The sequence below is a fragment of the Homo sapiens genome, chromosome 7 (genome assembly GCF_000001405.40).
Source record: "Homo sapiens chromosome 7, GRCh38.p14 Primary Assembly".
Lineage (NCBI taxonomy): Eukaryota > Metazoa > Chordata > Mammalia > Primates > Hominidae > Homo > Homo sapiens.
The window spans coordinates 31,148,985-31,169,559 of NC_000007.14; the positions used below are offsets into that span (position 1 = coordinate 31,148,985).

The 20,575-nt window shown below is 37.4% G+C and overlaps 1 long non-coding RNA gene across 3 annotated transcripts in view; it reads left to right on the forward strand.

Annotated features, from left to right (window-relative positions):
• Positions 1-20,575, forward strand: part of LOC107986781 (uncharacterized) — a 73,782-nt gene that overhangs the window by 14,342 nt on the left and 38,865 nt on the right. The window contains exon 3 of one of the 3 annotated variants that reach the window (XR_001745158.1): positions 12,328-12,448. The exons of the other annotated variants lie outside the window; for them this stretch is intronic. This is a non-coding gene — a long non-coding RNA (uncharacterized LOC107986781). Of the gene's footprint in view, positions 1-12,327; positions 12,449-20,575 lie in introns of those variants that run through there. 3 annotated transcript variants of the gene reach the window in all.

Genomic DNA, 20,575 nt, shown 5'->3' on the forward strand with positions numbered 1-20,575 from the left:
CAAAGTTCTAATATGCAGAATTTACAAGGAACTTAAACAAATTTACAAGAAAAAAACAACCCCAACAAAAAGTGAGCGTAGGACATAAACAGACATTTCTCAAAAGAAGACATTTTTGCAGCCAACAAACATATGCAAAAAAGCTCAACATTACTGATCATTAGAGAAATGCAAATCAAAAACACAATGAGATACCATCTCACACCAGTCAGAATGGCTATTATTAAAAAGTCAAGAAACAACAGATGCTGGCAAGGCTTTGGAGAAATAGGTGGGAGTGTAAATTAGTTCAACCATTGTGGAAGACAGTGTGGTGATTCCTCAAAAATCTAGAACCAGAAATACCATTTGACTCAGCAATCCCATTACTGGATATATACCCAAAGGAATATAAATCACTCTATTATAAAGATACATGTACACGTATGTTTATTGCAGCACTATTCACAATAGCAAAGATATGGAACCAACCCAAACGCCCATCAATGATAGACTGGATAAAGAAAATGTGGTACATATATGCCATGGAATACTATGCAGCCATAAAAAGGAATGAGATCATGTCCTTTGCAGGGAAATGGATGAAGCTGGAAGCCATCATCCTCAGCAAACTAACACAGGAACAGAAAACCAAACACCACATGTTCTCACTCATAAGTGGAAGCTGAACAATGAGAATGCATGGCCACAGGGAGGGGAACAACACACACTGAAGCCTGTTGGTGGGGAGCAAGGGGAGGGAGAGCATGAGGACAAATAGCCAATGCATGAGGGGCTTAATGTCTAGGTGATAGGTTGATAGGTGCAGCAAACTACCATGCACATAGTATCCTGGAACTTAAAGTGAAATTAAAAAAAATTATTTGCCATATGAAATCACTGCCAAGCTCACCTCTTTATAAATTATTTTTCTCAAGGATCTTGGTTTAAGTTCTCACTACCTTTTTAGCTCTCGAGTATTTTTAAATACCTATTTTAAAAATGGATTCTAAACATTTCTAGTTGTCTTTAGTAGGGAGAGTTAGTCTGAAACCAGCTATTCTGTCATTACCAGAAGCATAAATCTCTGATTACTAATCTTTGAAGTATATACAAATTTCTGACACCAATTGCTTATAAGAGGCTTGTGTAGAACAATCAGGGCTCTCTATCAAACTAGGTAAAATTTTCTGACCCAGGGTTTGGTGTATAAGTTCATCTAACTTAATTTATTTTCTATAAACTGGATAAACATTTGTGGAATTTTCCTTTTTACCCACTGCTACAAAGAAAGTGCTTATGATTCCTGTGTCTATTTTTCTAATTGTTTTTTTTTTAACCTTACAAAGACTTCCAGGAAGATGAATGGAGAAATTCTAACTTTATAATGCTATATTTAAATCAGAAGTCTGACCTCATTTATATTTTAAATGGATCTCTCTGGCTACTGTGTGATATATTAATTCAAATAGCAAATGACTGGAATGAACCTAAGTGTACATGAATACAAGATGGTTAAATAAATTATGATAAATTCATTTAATAAAACATAGCAATTAAAAATAATTAGGTAGCTTTCTATGTAATGACATGGAACTATTCCAAATATTACTGAGTGAAAAAAGCAAAGTGTAGAACAATGTGTGTGGTATTACTGCTACCATTTGTGTGAAAAAAGATTTTGTATACATATTTTTATAAGTGGATAGACTGTCTCTGGAATAAAATGCAAAGCTAGTAAAAGCTGCCAGTTTTTAGAAAAGCTGTTTCTAGGGAATGAAACAAGGTTATTGGGGACAGGTCCAAGATGAATATTAACTTTTTAATGCATATTCTTTTGTATTTTTTGGATGTTGTATTGTGGGCATGTTTTACCTATTCAAAATGTAAATAAAATTTTTACTTAAATAAAATGTATATTTTACTGCCCTCCAGTGATACAGTTTTCATTTGGGGATAGGTCTAGCCCATCTATTTTTTCATTTCTTTATTAAAATACATATTTGATATAATTAGAGAATTTTATGTCTTTTTTGATATAACATATTTCATTTTGTTTTATTACTTTCAAAATTATAATTTAAAAGTTTTGCATGATGTTTAGTTCAGGTATAACAACTTACTTACCTTTCCCCAATATTGGTCATTTACATATTTACATATTTCCTTATATATAATATGGTAATGAGCATCTTTGTTAAAATGTATGCATTTGGTTCCTATGAATTACTCTAATGCTTAATGGTTATTTGATAAGATTTGATGTAAATAAAGCAAGCACTATGAGGAGTTGATAAAAGGTCAGAAATGATTATAGATGATCCCTTGAGATACTCATAATAAGCATGGCAATTTTCATTCATTCTAACATTTGTCAATATGGGTAAACCAAACAGAGTTGTTGCTCTTTAAATGTAGGTACAGTAAAAATTGAACTCACAGGAAATAGTACACTTAAAGAATCATTAATTATTACCTAATTGCTTGCACCACTGTGGCAGGGACAGAAAAGTACTCTGCGATGATGAAGTTGTCAATTACAGTTGATAATTAAGGGGCCAGGTGCATATTTAACTTAACAAGATAAATATCTGCCCAGATGTTGTTTGTCTGCTGCTTCATTACCAGGTAGGTTAGAAGACTTTCATAAACTAGAAAGACTATTAAATACACAACCTTGCTACATCAAGAAACCTTTAGTAAATCTGTTACTATAGCCAATATTCATTTAAGAAGGCTTTTATCAGACTTCCTAGAGAGTTGAAGTAAGCATATCTATATAATACCATCTTTGCAGATTCTCAGTGAAATGGATTTTTCAAATATAAAACAGATAGAACATACAATAGTATTGGGAACTAGAGAGGTTGCCTCCTCATGTTAGGAACATAAAGGAATTTTATGCAAGATTTAAAATGCCAGATTAAATGAAGACAACAAAGAATCAATCTGTGTCTGGACCATTCCAAGGAACCCAAGATCCTTGGATGTAAGAGGTTAATATTCTGGCAAAGTTATAGTAAGGTATCCTAAACTGAAGGGCAGAGACTAGGAGAAAAGAACTGGCTGCATCAAAAAAGCAGCCAGATCATGTCATTGCTTGTATTCGTTTGCTAGGGCTGCCATAACAAAATGTCACAGACTAGGCGGCTTAAAAACAATGGACATTTATTTTCACACCATTCTGGAGGCTGTAAGCCCAAGATCAAGGTGCCAGCAGGGTTGGTTTCTCCTGTGGACTCTCTTTGGTTTGCATGTGATTGAGTCTCCCAACAACCATGTGTGGCCTTTTTTCTGTGTGTGCAAATCTCATGTGTGTCTTCCTCTTCTTGTAAGGACACTAGTCATATTGGATTAGAGTCCCACCCTTATGACCTCACTTACCCTTTACTAAGTTCCTATCTCCAAACGCAGTCGTATTTAGTTCTTAACATATGAATTCGGTGGGGAGAGGACACAATTCAGTCCGTAACACTCCTCTCCTTAAAACTCTCCAAAGTCTTTAAAATGGCCCGTAATCTTCAGTGCATTCAATGCTGCCTCTCTAACATTTTCTCCAGAACATTTCACCTTTGTATGCTTCACTCTATTCACATTGGCTTTCTTCCTGTGTTTCTGACAGAGAGGTTGACATAGGGAGAGTCAACCATTTGAAAACCAAAGAGAGATGCCACAGGAGAAATCGACCCTGCTGGCACCTTGATCTTGGGCTTCCAGCCTCCAGAATTGTGAAAAAAATAAATGTCCGTGGTTTAAACCACTCAGTCTGTGATAGTTCGTTATGGTAGCCCTAGCAAACTGATATAAGAAGTGACATTCCCCCCACATCAGGGCCTTTGCAATGGCTATTCTCTGTCCTTGGGACATTTTGCCTTTAGATAGCCACAGAGCTGGCTCCCCTCACTGCCCTAAGGTCCCTGTGCAACGAGATCTTTGCCAGTGAAATTTTTTTCTGATCATCGCATACAAAAGAGAATTCGCTGTCGCTTTCTTTGCCTTCTCATGCAGCTTTATTATCTTTTTTCAGAGCACTTAATTATTGATATAAATATAAATATATACAGCTCCCTCTCCCTCTCCCTCTCCCTCTCGGTCTTGCTCTCCGTCTCCCTCTTTCTACTGTCTCCCTCTCTTGCGGAGCCTGGACTGTACTGCCATGATCTCGGCTCGCTGCAACCTCCCTCCCTCGGGCTCTGGTGATTCTCCTGCCTCGGCCTGCCAAGTGCCTGGGATTCCAGGCACGCGCTGCCTCTCCTGACTGGTTTTTGTATTTTTGGTGGAGATGGGGTTTTGCCGTGTTGACCGGGCTGGTCTCCAGCTCCTGGCCTCGGGTGATCTGCCTGCCTCGGCCTCCCGAGGTGCTGGGATTGCAGACGGAGTCTCGCTCACTCAATGCTCAATGTTGCCCATTGAGTGCAGTGGTGTGATCTCGGCTTGCTACAACCTCCGCCTCCCAGCCGCCTGCCTTGTCCTCCCAAAGTGCTAAGATTACGGCCTCTGCCCGCCCACCACCCCGTCTAGGAAGTGAGCAGCGTCTCTGCCTAGCCGCCCATTGTCTGGGATGTGAGGAGCCCCTCTGCCCGGCCGCCCCGACTGGGAAGTGAGGAGCACCTCTGCCTGGCTGCCCCCGTCTGGGAAGTGAGGAGTGCCTCTGCCCAGCCACCCCCTCTGGGAAGTGAGGAGCGCCTCTGCCCGGCCGCCCCATCTGGGAAGTGAGGAGCGCCTCTGCCAGGCCACCCCGTCTGGGAAGTGTACCCAACAGCTCCGAAGAGACAGCGACCATCGAGAACGGGCCATTGATGATGATGGTGGTTTTGTCAAAAAGAAAAGGGGGAAATGTCAGGAAAAGAAAGAGAGATCAGATTGTTCCTGTGTCTGTGTAGAAAGAAGTAGACATAGGAGACTCCATTTTGTTCTGTACTAAGAAAAATTCTTCTGCCTTGGGGTGCTGTTAATCTATAACCTTACCCCCAACCCCCTGCTCTCTGAAACATGTGCTGTGTCAACTCAGGGTTAAATGGATTAAGGGCGGTGCACGATGTGCTTTGTTAAACAGATGCTTGAAGACAGCATGCTCCTTAAGAGTCATCACCACTCCCTAATCTCAAGTACCTGGGGACACAAACAGGGCGGAAGGCCGCAGGGACCTCTGCCTAGGAAAACTGGAGACCTTTGTTCTCGTGTTTATCTGCTGACCTTCTCTCCACTATTATCCTATGACCCTGCCACATCCCCCTCTCTGAGAAACACCCCAGAATGATCAATAAATACTAAAAAATAAATAAATAAATATAAATATATATATGGCATATATATATGTATGTATGCTGGCTGCTTTCATGGGCTTGCGTTGAGTGTCTGCAGCTTTTCCAGGTTCACGGTGCAAGCTGTCAGTGGATCTACCATTCTGGGGTCTGGAGGATGGTGGCCCTCTTCATATATATATGTATATATATGTGTGTGTGTGTGTGTATACATGCATATATATGTATGTGTGTGTATATATATACATGCATATATATGTGTATGTGTATATATATATATACACACATATATATACACACACATATATGTATATATATACACACACACATACATATGTTTGCTTATCATCTATGTGTTCCTAGTAGATTTAGACAGTACCTGGTATGAAGTTAGAGGCTTGGGCTTTGTCTGTTTCTGTTACTGTTACAGCAGCTGGAAATAGAACACATGTCTTACAAAAGAAGGACAATTTGATTGACAGCAGATGTTAGCAGCAACAACAGAGGACAGTAGACAATGGAATAGTTCCAATTTGTTGATAGAAAATAATTGCCAACCTAGAAAATCATGTTGCAGGACATTTTCAGGTATACCAAAATAGAAGTCATTTGCCTTCAAGAAATATTCACTAAAGAAATTTTGATTCAGGCAGAAGGAAAATGATCTGAATTGTCTTTGGTCTAAGATGTAAGAAGAAAGATTAAGAAAATTAATAAAAATAAGTGTATAAATCTAAACATATATTATTTAAACAATGTCTAATTTATGGAGTTAAAAAAGACAGAATCAAAATATATATAAGGGTATAAAATTCTAAGCCAGTGGAATAGCAAAAATGGATTAAGAAAATGATGAATAAAGGCTTACCAACTATAAAAAGAAAAAGAAGAGAGAGAAAACAAGCATTAAAAAGAGATAGAAATATAGATTTGATAATTAAGATTGTTAAAACCAGACAAAGTATACCAGAAGTCATAATAAAAGTAGACTCAATCCACCAGTTATAAGATGAACTTTGTCAGGTTGGGTAAAAATTTTTAAAAATCTGTTTATTTTATTCATAAGTAAAAGAAGAAGAACATTGAAAAGGTGATGGTGAAAGAATAGAAAAATATATACCCTGCAACACTAACCAAAAGAAAACTACGGTAGCACTATTACGTTTAGACAAATACAAAATATAATTTAAGTGAAATAAAATAATTCAGGACAAGGCGGGTGTATTAGTCCGTTTTCTTGCTGCTGTTAAAGACATACCCGAGACTGGGAAGAAAAAGAGGTTTAACTGGACTTACAGTTCCACATGGCTCAGGAAACCTCAGAATCATGGCAGGAGGTGAAAGGCACTTCTTACATGGTGGTGGCAAGAGAAAATGAGAAAGAAGTAAAAGCAGAACCCCCTGATAAGCCCATCAGATCTTGTGAGACTTACTATCACAATAATGGCACAGGAAAGACTGGCTGCCATGATTCAATTACCTCCTCCTGGGTCCCTCACACTACCTGTGGGAATTCTGGGAGATACAATTCAAGTTGAATTTTGAGTGGGGACACAGCCAAACCATATCAGAGGGTCACTACATAATATAAAAATTTTAATTCACCAGGAAGACATAATCATTATAAACTCTATATGCCTATAAAATAATGTAGAGAAATAAAAATATATAAATGTCAATACATATGCCAGATTGATAAGATTGTAAGGATAAATTGACAGTCATCATCATAATGGGAGATTTCAACATAGCACATTCAATTACAAATAAGCCAACAAAAATTATTAAAGCTGGAGAATATTTGAACAATATAGTCTAACAACTTCGAACTAGTGAAGCTTATAAAAATTCTGCACTGACAAGTAGAATATACTTTCTTCTCAAAGAATAAAACTTGTATACAAATCTATAATAATTTCAACAACATTTTGTTCTCTGACCTCAGATGGACTAGAAATAAAAAATTAAATCCCACACATTTGAAATTAAAAAGCACACTTTAAAAAATTAATATATCAAAGAAGAAAACTTAATAGAAATAAAGAATACTTAGAACTATGTACAATGAAAATATACATTAAAATTTGTATAATACATTAAACTTTGTGGGATGTAGCACATGGTACTTAAAAAGAGATTTATTTATTTATGTTTTTTCCAACTTTTAAGTTCTGGGGTACATGTGCAGGATGTACAGGTTTGTTACATAGATAAGCATGTGTCATGGTGGTTTGCTGCACAGATCATCCCATTACATAGGTGTTAAGCTCAGCATCCATTAACTATTCTTCCTGATGCTCTCCCTCCTCCTGCACCCACCCTCTGACAGCCTCCAGTGTGTGTTGTTCCCCCCATGTGTCCATGTGTTCTCATCATTTATCTCCTACTTATATGTGAGAACATGCAGTATTTGGTTTTCTGTTCTGCATTAGTTTGCTGAGTATAATGGCTTTCCAGCTCCATTCATGTTCCTGCAAAGGACATGATCTCATTCCTTTTTATGGCTGCATAGTATTCCAGGGTGTATATGTACCACATTTTCTTTATCTAGTCTATCATTAATGGGCATGTAGGTTGATTCCATGTCTTTGCTCTTGTGAATGGTACTGCAGTGAACATATGTGTGCATGTATCTTTATAATAGAATGATTTATATTCCTTTGGGTATATACCCAGTAGTGGGATTGCTGGATCAAATGGTATTTCTGCCTCTTAAGTCTTTGAGGAATCACCACACTGTCTTCCACAATGGTTGAACTAATTTGTACCCCCACCAACAGTGTAAAAGTGTTCCTTTTTCTCCACAACCTCACCAGCATCTGTTGTTTTTTGACTTTTCAATAATTGCCATTCTGACTGGTGTGAGATGGTATCTCATTGTGGTTTTGATTTGCATTTCTCTAATGATCAGTGATGTTGAATATTTTTTCACGTTTGTTGGCCACATGTATGTCTTCTTTTGAGAAGTATCAATTCATGTCCATTGCCCACTTTTTAGTGGGTTTTTTTTTTTTTATTGTAAATGTAAGTTCCTTGTAGATGCCGGATGTTACATCTTTGTCAAATGGATAGACGGCAAAAATTTTCTCCCATTCTGTAGGTTGCCTATTCATTCTGATGATAGTTTCTCTTGCTGCGCAGAATCTCTTTAGTTTAATTAGATCCCATGTCTCAAGTTTTGCTTTTGTTGCAATTGCTTTTGGTGTCTTTGTCATGAAATCTTTGCATGTGCCTATGTCCTGAATGGTATTGCCTAGATTTTCTTCTAGGGTTTTTATAGATTTGGGTTTTACATTTAAGTCTTTAATCCATCTCAAGTTGATTTTTGTATATGGTGCAAGGAAGGGGTCCAGGTTCAATTTTCTGCATATGGCTAATGAGTTCTCCCATCACCATTTATTAAATAGGGAATCCTTTTCCCATTGCTTGTTTTTGTCAGGTTTGTCAAAGATCAGATAGTTGTAAGTGTGCAGTCTTATTTCTGAGTTCTGTATTCTGTTCCATTGGTCTATGTGTGTGTTCTTGTACCAGTACCATGCTGGTTTGATTACTGTAGCATTTTAGTACAGTTTGAAGTCAGGTAGCATGATGCCTCCAGCTTTGTTCTTTCTGCTTAGGCTCATCTTGGATATTCAAGCTCTTTTTTTGTTTCATTTGAATTTTAAAATAGTTTTTGCTATTTCTCTGAAGAATGTCAATAGTAATTTAATGGGAATATCACTGAAATCTATAAATTGCTTTTGGTAGTATGGCCATTTTCATGATATTGATTCTTCCTATCCATGAGCATGGAATGTCTTTTCATTTGTTTTTATCATCTCTGATTTCTTTGAGCAGTGGTTTTCAGTTCTCCTTAAATAGCTCTTCACTTCCTTTGTTATCTGTACTCCTAGGTATTTTATCCTTTTTGTGGCAATTGCAAATGGGAGTTCATTCATGATTTGGCTCTCTGCTTGCCTGTTGTTGGTGTATAGGAATGCTAGCAATTTCTGCACATTGATTTTGTATTCTGACACTTTGCTGAAGTTGCTTATCAGCTTAAGAAGTTTTTGGGCCAGGCACGGTGGCTCATGCCTGTAATCCCAGCACTTTGGGAGGCTGAGGCGGGCAGATCATCTGAAGTTGGGAGTTCGAGATCAGCCTGACCAACATGGAGAAACCCCATCTCTACTTAAAATACAAAATTAGCCAGGCATGGTGGCGCATGCCTGTAATCCCAGCTACTCAGGAGGCTGAGGCAGGAGAATCGCTTGAACCCGGGAGGTGGAGGTTGTAGTGAGCTGAGATCACGCCACTGCACTCCAGCCTGGGCAACAAGAGCAAAACCCCGTCTCAAAAAAAAAAAAATGCTTTTGGGCTGAGACAATGGGTTTTCTAGATAAAGGATCATGTCATCTGCAAAGATAGTTTGACTTCCTCTCTTCCTATTTGAATACCCTTTAATTTTTAAAGAGATATGTATAACCTTCAGTGCTTAATATTTAAAAAGCTTTAAAAAGTTAGTAGCATAAAAGATCAAAATCAAAGGAAACAACACAGAAATAAAAGAAAATTTCAAAACAGAATACTCAGTCGAATAACTAGAATATTAACTATTAACATAAACAAGTTAATCTCTTAACAATTACTTTCAGATTGGCTTTTAAAAAATGAGCAAGAAACCCACTTATATGCTATATACAAAGGAAACATTTAAACCCACGTAAACTTAAAGAAATGCATCAAAATACATCGGGCGACCCCAATCCAAAATAAAAACCATACACTGTTAAAGAACCCAATCACAATTAAAGTATATAATCATGATCATAAATATTTGTGTAGAGAATAACATAGTATCATATATAATAAATATAATGTTAAAATATGAAGACAAATTGGCAGACACACAATTGTCTCTGGACAGTTTAACAAGCCTTTTTTTTTTTTGATTAGGAGTCTTGCTCTGTTGCCCAGGCTGGAGTGCAGTGGTGTGATCTTGGCTCACTGCAACCTCTGCCTCCCAGATTCAAGCGATTCTCCTGCCTCAGCCTCCTGAGTAGCTGGGATTACAGTGCCCTCCACTGCACCCAGTTAATTTTTCTATTTTAGTGGAGATGGGGTTTCACCATGTTGCCCAGGCTGGTCTCAAACTCCTGACCTCAGGTGATCCACCCACCTCGGCCTCCCAAAGTGCTGGAATTTGCAGGCGTAAGCTACTGTTCCTGGCCTTAACAAGCCCCTTTAAGCCTCTGATAGATTCATAAGCCCAGAATAAGAATATAGGATATCTATTCATTCAAGATTAATGTTTTATTCTTATCTATTCAAGATAATTTTTATGTACTTAATATCTATTCAATATAATTTTTATGTACTTAATAGGTACATAAAAATTTTCATACACAACCAGAAACTCACTTTCTACCAAAATCTTAATTGGCATGTAAAAAAGGGGATTCAAAAATTTCTTGACTAAATTAGATTTTTTTATGTACAAAGACAAAAGAATGACTGTCAATGAATTAAGTGTTTTATTAGTACTAGGAAAAGACCTATAACAATCTCGACCACTTTATTCAGGATTCTTTGGTTGCAAAAGACAGAAATGCAGCACAAATTAGCTCAAGTCAAGAAGAAGGATTTATGGACACTTTCCCAGATTGTGGAAAGATGAGGTGGAGCTGGCTGTAGGGATAAGAGGGCTCTTACCTAAACCTATATCTAAAGCCATAAGACTTCCCCTCATTATTTTTCATTTCCACTCTCCTATCATTCCTTCCACATAGAGTTTCTCTATGGTGGGGGACTTGGCTGTCTTGGGAGCTCCTAGCTAAATTGAGATTTCAGTACCAAGTAGCTAGCAAACTTGCTCTCACAGGAAGTGAAAGGGAGCTGGACATGGGTGTTTAGAGTGTGCCTTTCCCAGGATACTTCTTTTACCTGGTGCACGGCCTTATGCCTCTGCCTGTGAGCAGAGGGTCCCTCACATGGGAAACTTGTTTATACTGGCAGATGCCCTTGTGGTTCTTGTCTGACCCTTGCCCAGTGTGTGCTTGCCTGAACATTGCTGTAGGCTAGGAACCTGCCCTTGTGTCCCATTCCCCACCTCCCACCCCTCCCACATCCCAGAAAATCCAGACCTGGGGCAGCCCCTGGTTCTTCAGATAGAAGGCAATCAATTCAATACACCATCATAATAGGAAACAAGTTCAACGATTTCTACTTACAGATCCTGGGCAGAGAGGCTGCAATGAATTGGGAGGGCAGCCCACCATCCTTGGGTCATGGAAAGCAGGAATAAACAGTCAGGTGGAGAGGGAGAGAGAGAGCGAGTGAGAGACAGAGAGAGATTGAGAGGGCATGCGCATGCACTTGGCAACTTGCGGGATATATAAGGGGATAGAGTGTGGCATACTTTAAGTTCATGAGCAGATGCCTGAATGGTCAGTTCAAAAGAAGCAGTGGGAAAAATGGAATGCCCAGTCTGCTGGACAGGAGAGGTGCCTCTAAGTTCTTATCTCTGGTCACTAGCTTGAAGCTTTTGGGTGTGGTATAGAACTCAAAAACTGTGTCATGTGTGACTGAGCCCTGCTACTGGTATGAGAAACTTAAATCTGTATTCCAAATGGATGCTGAGGTAACACAAAATTATAAGGATTCACTAGAGTGGCCTGTGACCCGTCCAGATGCATGCACTATCTATGATTGTAGTGGAGACAGTCACTATGGGTTCATTACCCTGCAGCTGCTTTCTGACACAAGGAATATGGCGTTTTCCAGCCTCTTTTGCAGTTAGTTTGGAGTCCTGTTGTCAGTGAGCTCCGTGGATGAGAAACGAGTCACTTCTGGTTGGAGGGACTTCAGAGCAGGCATGAGTTGTCATGCTCTCTCCTCCCTTACATGGTGACCCTGCAAGTCCTGTGTCGAGAAGCAAAGCTACAGGGATGCTTGAGTCATGACTTGTGAAGGGGTTGGTCTGGAATGCTGATGGACTTGCTGAGGACTTCATGTAGTGAGGAATGAATTTGGGACATTGTTTAGCATAACCGATGCTTGTCTAAATAAACTGATACTACAGTGACAAGGATATGTTCCCCAACAGCTTGAGAAAATCCTGAAGATGGATTCTGTTGGAACCATGTTGGCTTATCTGTCATCTCTGGACTAATCAATGGGGACAGCAGGATAAGGTAGTATGACTGGCTCAATCTGGATTATGTGTGCACTCCTATGGCTAGAGGATAGGTCTGTTATGGGAAGAGAGGATGGGATTGCACAGACGAGGCTACTGCTGGGAGTCGTGAAGTTGTCCCAATTTGTGGCTACTTTATTAAACCAAACAAGACAATGCTAGTAATCATAAAAACAGAAGTTATTGAAAATAAATAAAACCAATAAATAAGCTCAAAAATTCTTTTGTTGAAAGAGAAAATAAAATAGATAAGCCTCCAGCTTTGTCAAGAAAAGACAAACACAAACACAGATTTAGAAATGAGAAATCAGGAAAAGGATATTGGCCATATCAAATTTGAGCGGCAGCTTTATGCTAATTGTATTGAAAAACTTTGTAAAATATATGGGCCTTTTTCAGAATGTGGCGACATAATTTTGAAAGTCATTTATAATAATAAATGGAAGAAAATTACTAAGAATATTTTGAAAAAGAGATGGGGGATGACTTTCTTTACTCATTAAAACATAAAATCATAAGTAAATTATACTCACATAGGAATTACTAGGTTTTTCCTTACTGTAGAATATGTCAAATCTAATATATGATTTTTTTTACAATATATATCTTCTCTTTTAAGCACATCATTTGAATTTGGATTCTATTTTCCACCATACATATAATTTATAATTCACTAAACATATTTTTATTTTTAACTGATTTCAGGACTCACTGCTAATCTATTTTTCGATGTTTATAATCATTTTTAAAAGTTATTTTTTGATTTAATCTCAGTTTTCCACAACAGTTATCACCATTTGATATATTATGTGTATTTATTTGGTTTTTTGTTTAATGCTTTGTTTTCAAGATTCATCTACATTGTTGTGCAGAGTAATAGTTTATTCATTTTCATTAAATGTATACTATTCCATTAAGTAAAGATATTACAATTTATCCATTCTACATAAATGGATGTTTGGGTTATTTCCACTTTTTTGGTGGTTATTACAAATAATGCTTCTATGAACATCACTCTATATGTATATGGGCACACATAAGTATGCATTTCTGTAAGATATACACCTAGAAGTAGAATTGGCAGGTAATAGTTTACAGGTATGTTGAACTGTACTGAAGAATTCAGCTTGGCTTCCTGTGTGGTTGTATTTCATTTTAAAGCAAGCTAGCAGGTGTGTAGTGATATCTCCTTGTGGTTTTAATTTGCCCTGCTCTGATTCCTAATGAGGTTGAGCTCCTTTTCATTTGTTTATTGGCCATTCGAATTTCCTCCTTTGTGAAGTGCCTATTCAGATGTTTAGTCTTGGTCATCTGACTTTCTTACTGACTTAGGAGTCCTTTGCTTATTCTGGATATAATGTATAATACAAAAAAAGCTACTCTGGATATAATGTGTAATGCAAAAATCTACTACTCTGTAGCTCAATGATCTCTTTTGATGAATGTGTTTTTTTTTTCTTATTTTAATGATAAGTGCTTAAATCTTTTCTTTAAGGGTTAGTGATATTTATGTCTCTTTAAGAAGTCTTTTATCTAGGACCCCGAGCCAATCAGAAGGTGCTCCAAATATCCAAAACTAAAACAACTTGAGCAACAAAATAAATAATGATAGTATTGGTAGAACAATATATATATATGAACCAATACAAATAAATAATTGAATAAATAAAAGGGAGGAAAGGACAGTTCTTCCTTATAGAAGAATATTAATTTTAAAATGAAGAAGATATTAGAAAATAAAAAATCACTGTTAGGCAAACACTGCAATAATATTTGTTGTAAGCAGGGTCCCCTAGTGGATGCTAAAATCAGTAGAGGAAAAACAGGATATTTCCTTTGTCGAAGTATTTTCCCCAAATATTTATTAATTGCGAAGGGAAAAATAGTTAACTTTATAGTGGAGGAAGCTGGTAGACACCATCTTAGCCAGATGACCAGAGTTAAGATCACAGGTTGTAAGACATACCATTCACCTCCTGGTACAATGAACTGAAAACAGACTGACATCACTTCTATGTATCTTGTCCAAAATGCATTACCTTAATATAATCATGAGAAATCAATCAGGCAAACCTAAATTGAAAGACTGTGTATGAAACAACTGACTAGTATCTCCAAAAATGCCAAAGTCATGAAAGACAAGGAAAGATTGAGAAATTCTCATAAGTTGGATGACACTAAGGGGACTTAACTAAATGCCATGTCGGACCCTAGACTGGATCTCAGAATAGAGAAAAGACATTTGTGGAAAAACTGGTGAAATTTGAATAAGGTCTATAGTGTGGTTCATGGTATTGTACCAATATTAATTTCCATTTTGATAATTGCACTGCGGCTGTGGATAATGTGAAGATGAAGGAGGCCTGGGGAATGGGTTTAAGAAACTCTCTGCATTATTTTTCTTTCAGCTCTTCTGTAACTGTAAAACTGTTTAAAAATAAAACATTAAAATTTCTGTGTTCTTTATTTCTGAGGTCAGTTTGGTTGGATGAAAAAACTTTGGCTTTTATTTATTTTCTTAAGTATCATAAATTGTTACTCTGTTGTCTTCTATTATATCACATTACTGTCAAAAATAAAATGACAATATGATTTTCTTTCTCCTGTCAGTGACTTGGTCTTTTTGTCTGGATATGCAAAATATGCTTTAAAAAAATTGTTCAAAGTTTGATACAATTACTAGACTACGTCTTGATATTGGCCATTCTAGATAAATTTTCCCAACACTTTTAAACACGGAATTTTAAATTTTCCCAACTCCTTTAAACATGGAATTTCAAATTTTGAAATTTACTTTTTCAGTGAAGTTTTCTCCAACCTTGTATTAAAAAAATCCTAGCATTCAGAAAAATTGAAAGAATGTTAAAGTGGACATCTATATATGCTTCACCTATATTTGCTAATTGCTAACATTATACTACATTTGTTCTATATCTCTGTCTATACGTGTATGTATATTGTTTACTTGTTTATATTTGGCAAGAATTTTGAGTTTCTGATGTGAGGATACCTCATCCTTAAATATTTCACCATAGGTCTTCTAAAATGAGAACATTCACCTATTATTAGCACAACATAATTATTACACTAACATTGATAAAGTACTGTTATTTAAGTTATATTTACATTTTCTGAATTCTTTCAACAATGTTCTTAATAGCTTTTTCTTCAATCTAGGTTCCAATAAAAGATCACACATTGCATTTTGTTTTCACATTTCTTACCTCTTATTTTTATTTTATTTAAAAAATTTATATAGCTTTAGGGGCCCAGGGGATTTTTGGGTATGTGGATAAATTGTATAGTGCTGAAGTCTGGGCTTTTAGTGTACCCATCATCTAACTTGTGTACATTGTACTCAATTTTAAGTCTTTGATTTAGAGCAGTTCCTACAGCAATTATACAAGGTTGAACCATCGAAGGGACTCACAAGACCTCATAGGGCATACTCTTATAGAGCTTTAGGAAAGTAGAGGATACAGTACAGCAGGAGAAAGAAGGCACAAACATCAAAGAGGTCCAAGCTTCCAGGCACAACTCACAGGGTTCTTGGTCACATTGTGTGTGCTTCTTCAGGTCATAAATTACCAAGACCCACACAAGGAACCTGGTCTCATATGCCACAGTTTATCCCATGGGAGTCTTTTATAACCCTGAGATCATACAGCCAAAACCAGCCTACAGGAGTCTCAGGAGTCATCCGATGTCAGTTTGCCATTATTACAAATATTTGTTGTGATCACTCATCTGCCATATTTCCTCATTGTAAAGTACTTTTTCCCTATTTGTAATAAATTACAACTGAGCAATGATACCTAGAGTCTATGTGAATATCTTGTTTCCCAACACATTTTCACCCAAGAGATTTCACATTCATTGATGGTCCTCATGTGAATCAGTTATTATAAGGTGGATGCAAAATGGTGTTTTTAGAGTTCTGTTATTCTTTCTACATTTAATAGTTTGAATTATTTTGTAAAGAAGAGCCTTTTATTTTCCTTCTTTCTCCCCACTTCCCCCACCTTTTGAGGGTCCTATGGATTTATTGGAGTTATTAGTATTTTTAAAATTAAATAAAGTTAAACATATTATAAGTTATTAGTATTACCCTTTATGATGTTCAAATTCTCCCAATTTCTACCTATGGAAGCCCCTTTAAGCTAACTCCTGAGTCCTGCCAACATATCCGCATTCATTTTTTTTGTGTTTTTCTTACTTTATAGTACAACAAGCCATTCTGTTCTCCTTGCACCAGGCCTGAAAGGTTGTTTCTTCAAGGATCCCTGAGATTAGAATCCAAGATCTGGGTAAATAGGTGTGCTCATTGCCCCTGGGGTGTCATTACTTCTAGACCCGTTCAGTGGACAAATCTAGGAAATGTATCTTTTAAAATTAAGTACTGTAGTGAATGCTGTGGTGCTCCATCAAGATACTTTCTTCATGCCTCCTTTTTAAGTTATTAACTGTGAACCTGTATGTCTCTACCACTAAATTATAATAAGGTGCACAAAAGCATGAGTTACATCTTGTTTATGCTTATAATTGTTAATATCCTGGATAATTGCTGGGCACATAGAAGGATATCTGTTAAGTTGAAAAGACTCTTTTCTCCTGTTCAGTCTTCATCAGTGGGAGTTAGCTAATGTCTATATGGTGACCTTTGTTGCAAAGTGAATTTGCTGATGATGTGAAATGGAAGCAATTAGGGCACTTTAATTTTCTTATTTTTGCTAAAGTGGTCCACGTACAAAAAATATTTGAGGGCTATCGCTGATTTAATCATTTGCATTTGTGAAAAAAGAAATATGAATAAGGTCCATATAAAGAGGTTTAAATGAGTAAGACTAACAGTTCTTAATAGTCAGTGGTTATTATTCTGGGGCCATAAAATACATCCAATATTTTGTTTATACCAATATCCTCTATCTCAATTGGCACAATCAAATTTAAGTAAAGATTGAGCAAATTTTCAGTATATTTGATTCCTTAAGTAATCATAGTCTAGAAAGCCAGATATTAATAGCCACCATTTATAAGCATTTACCAATTAATTAATGCAATTGAGTTAGCAGATTTCACAGACTGATAGATAGATCATTTATTCATCCCAAGACATTTGCAAGGCAAATAGTAGTATCCCTGCTTTTACAGTGCAGCATGTATAAGCAAGATAGTTAAGTAAAATGCAGATGACCCCATAAGTTGTAGAAAGAGGATTTAAAGTCAGGTCTGTCTGAACCTAAGCCCTACTCTTTTCACTATGGAACATGGTGTATTTGAGAAACTCAGGTGTACAGAATATATAAAATGTCTGAAGGTCTCAATGACTCACAGGGACCAGTCTGTACTGGATGAGTTAAAGAGCTGTTTCCTGAAGCTGCATCCCTCTGTACGTGGCACAGCATCCCCCTATCACCCGGTGCTGTGAGTTTTAGGAAAGAGGACATTCCCTACTCAAGGTCTCCCTGCAGCTTGACCTTCCAGAAGCCCCATGCTTTGCCCCTTCTGCGGAAGGCCTGATATTTCCCTTCTCACTTTCTGACACTGGCAGGTTCTTTTTGTGGAAGGCACCTATGCTGGGGTGGAGCACACATGGGGCTCCACCTCAAGTAATGGTACTGATTGGGTGAGTGCTTGGGTCCTGACTGTTTCCGTAACATGAGCTCTGGGAGAAGGAAGTTGGGTTTGGATAATCCTGTCCTAGTTTTTGAGATCAGCATTTCACCTCAATATAGTAGTTCCCCTTATCTGTGGGGGGTAAATTCCAAGGCTCCCAGTGGATTCCTGAATCTGCGGATTGTACTGAACCCTATATATACTATGTTTCTTTCCTTGCACACATATCTATGATAACATTTAATTTATAAATTAAGCAAAGTAAGAGATTAACAAAATAATAAAATAGAACAATTTTAGCAATATACTGTAATAAAAGTTATGTGACTGTGGTCTCTCTTTCAAAATATCTTACTGTACTGTACTGTACCATAGGAAACTGAAATAGAGGAAAGCCAAACTGTGGATAAGGGGGGACTACTGTACTTCCATGTATTTAAAAAAGAAATCAACTTTATTGAAGATTAATTTACATACTTCCTTATATTTTGGCAGGTTTCCTTTCCCTCCTTTTTTCCTGATTATCATTATACTATATATTTATTGTAAAAATGCAAATAATTCAGAAATATAAGACAGAAAGTATAAAGTTTTAAAATTCTTTAAAAATCACTATTTGTTAGGTACTTACTATGTCCCATGTACTTGACATGTATATCCTCATTGATTTCTTGCAACAACTCTGTGAATGGAAATTATCATTCCTATTTTGTAGGATTTTTTAGGATTCTTCTAATCATTGCATTGGGTTGCACTGAACACTTGCTTAGCTGACCTGCGAGCTTTCTCACTTTGACTCTGTCCATTGGGGTCTTTTCTCCACATGATCTTTATTAGAACCTTTTTCCCCTCTTTGACTTCAGTTGTATCTCTTTTTTAAAGACATGTATGGTGAGGTACTCACTAGCTAATAAGCTTTATAAGAGCAAGAAGTAATATTGAGGCTGGGTGCAGTGGCTCATGCCTGTAATCCCAGCACTTTGGGAGACTGAGGTAGGCAGATCACTTGAGGTCAGGAGTTTGAGACCAGCCTGGCCAACATGGTGAAACCCCGTCTCTACTAAAAATACAAAAATTAGCAGGACGCGGTGGTGGGTGCCTGTAATCCCACCTACTCGGGAGGCTGAGGCAGGAGAATCACTTGAACCCGGGAGGTGAAGGTTGCAGTGAGCTGAGAGTTGAGATCACACCACTGTACTCCAGCCTGGACGACAGAGTGAGACTCTGTCTAAAAAAAAATAAAAAAAGTAATATTTACTTACATAGCTGCTGTGCCTACATAAGATTTTAATGAGCACAAAATGTGACATGGAGTTGTTAAGTGGTAAATCTTTATTGAATGAATGAATTAATGATTTTAGCTGGCAGCCTCTCTTTATGCATTCTCATTTGGTCTTATTAAAAAATATATAATTCGTTTGAAATGGACAATGTACACTGTTCCCCTGCTGAATTCAAGTCATGAGTTTCATACTAGTGATTGTTTACATAATAATTTACTAAAAATAGTAAGAGTTTAGGATTTTTTTATGTGCTCTTTGAAGAAGCCAAGTGTGTTTTTTTTTATGTATTAATGTTGATTTGTCCATCCTACTCTGTTTTTACCATTTCATGCGGGCACTTTCTCTCTTGCACAGTTTAAAGCTTTCTTGCTCTCTTCAGGAGTATATTGCCAAAAATTCCTTATCAGTTCTCGTTAGACACCCTCTGCCTTATGCTGGTAGTCATCATGTTGGCATTGTAAAATGTAGCTTAAAAGTCCAATCCAGTTGTTCACTTATTCCAACCTCTTCTTTCTTCCACAGTCAGAACCTTCATGGGGGAAAAAGAGTTGAAAACACCCCCTGAATCTCATTTGCTTTCCTCTTCAGGTCCCCTGGGGCTGTACTCCAGGTTTCCCTGGCTTTGCATTTGTTCTCTATGAAATTATGTAAGCAGGAACAGCCCCAGGTGCTTGGAATGCTTGGTGGCTTCCTTCATGTGTGGGTTTACACATGGTGACAGAAGAGGGCAGCTGCTGGGGCAGCAATTTTTGTCTCTCCAGGGTCTCCACATGGACACCTTGTTTCTCCTTTGGATCTTCATTGGCCCTGCAATGAGTCAAACTTGCTAAACCCTGTGCTTCCCTCTGCCCCAGCCACAATCTCAGATGGAGCCTGACTTCAAATCTCTCACTGGTTGGTGGTTTGACCTTGAAGTTGGTAGACCTTGTCTGATCACCTGGGAAATGTAAGTTACTTCAGAGAGAGAATCAGTGAATTGTGAGTTGTGGGATCACAAGTCTAAAAAAAAAAAGCAGCTACAGGAGTTAATTATGCTAGTGTTTCTCCACCCATTTTGTTGATGAAAGAGCTTCCACATCATTGCCTGTCAGTCTAAGCATTGAGGTAAAAGACTCTCCCTTTGAAAATAGTCATTATATGAAAGTCTGGGAACCAGTATCAATATTTATTAGGGGGCACACACCCATCCTGTCCTGTTGTATCACAGATTTATAGCACAACCGTTTATCCTGGACTCCCTAAGCTCTTTCAAGGATTGT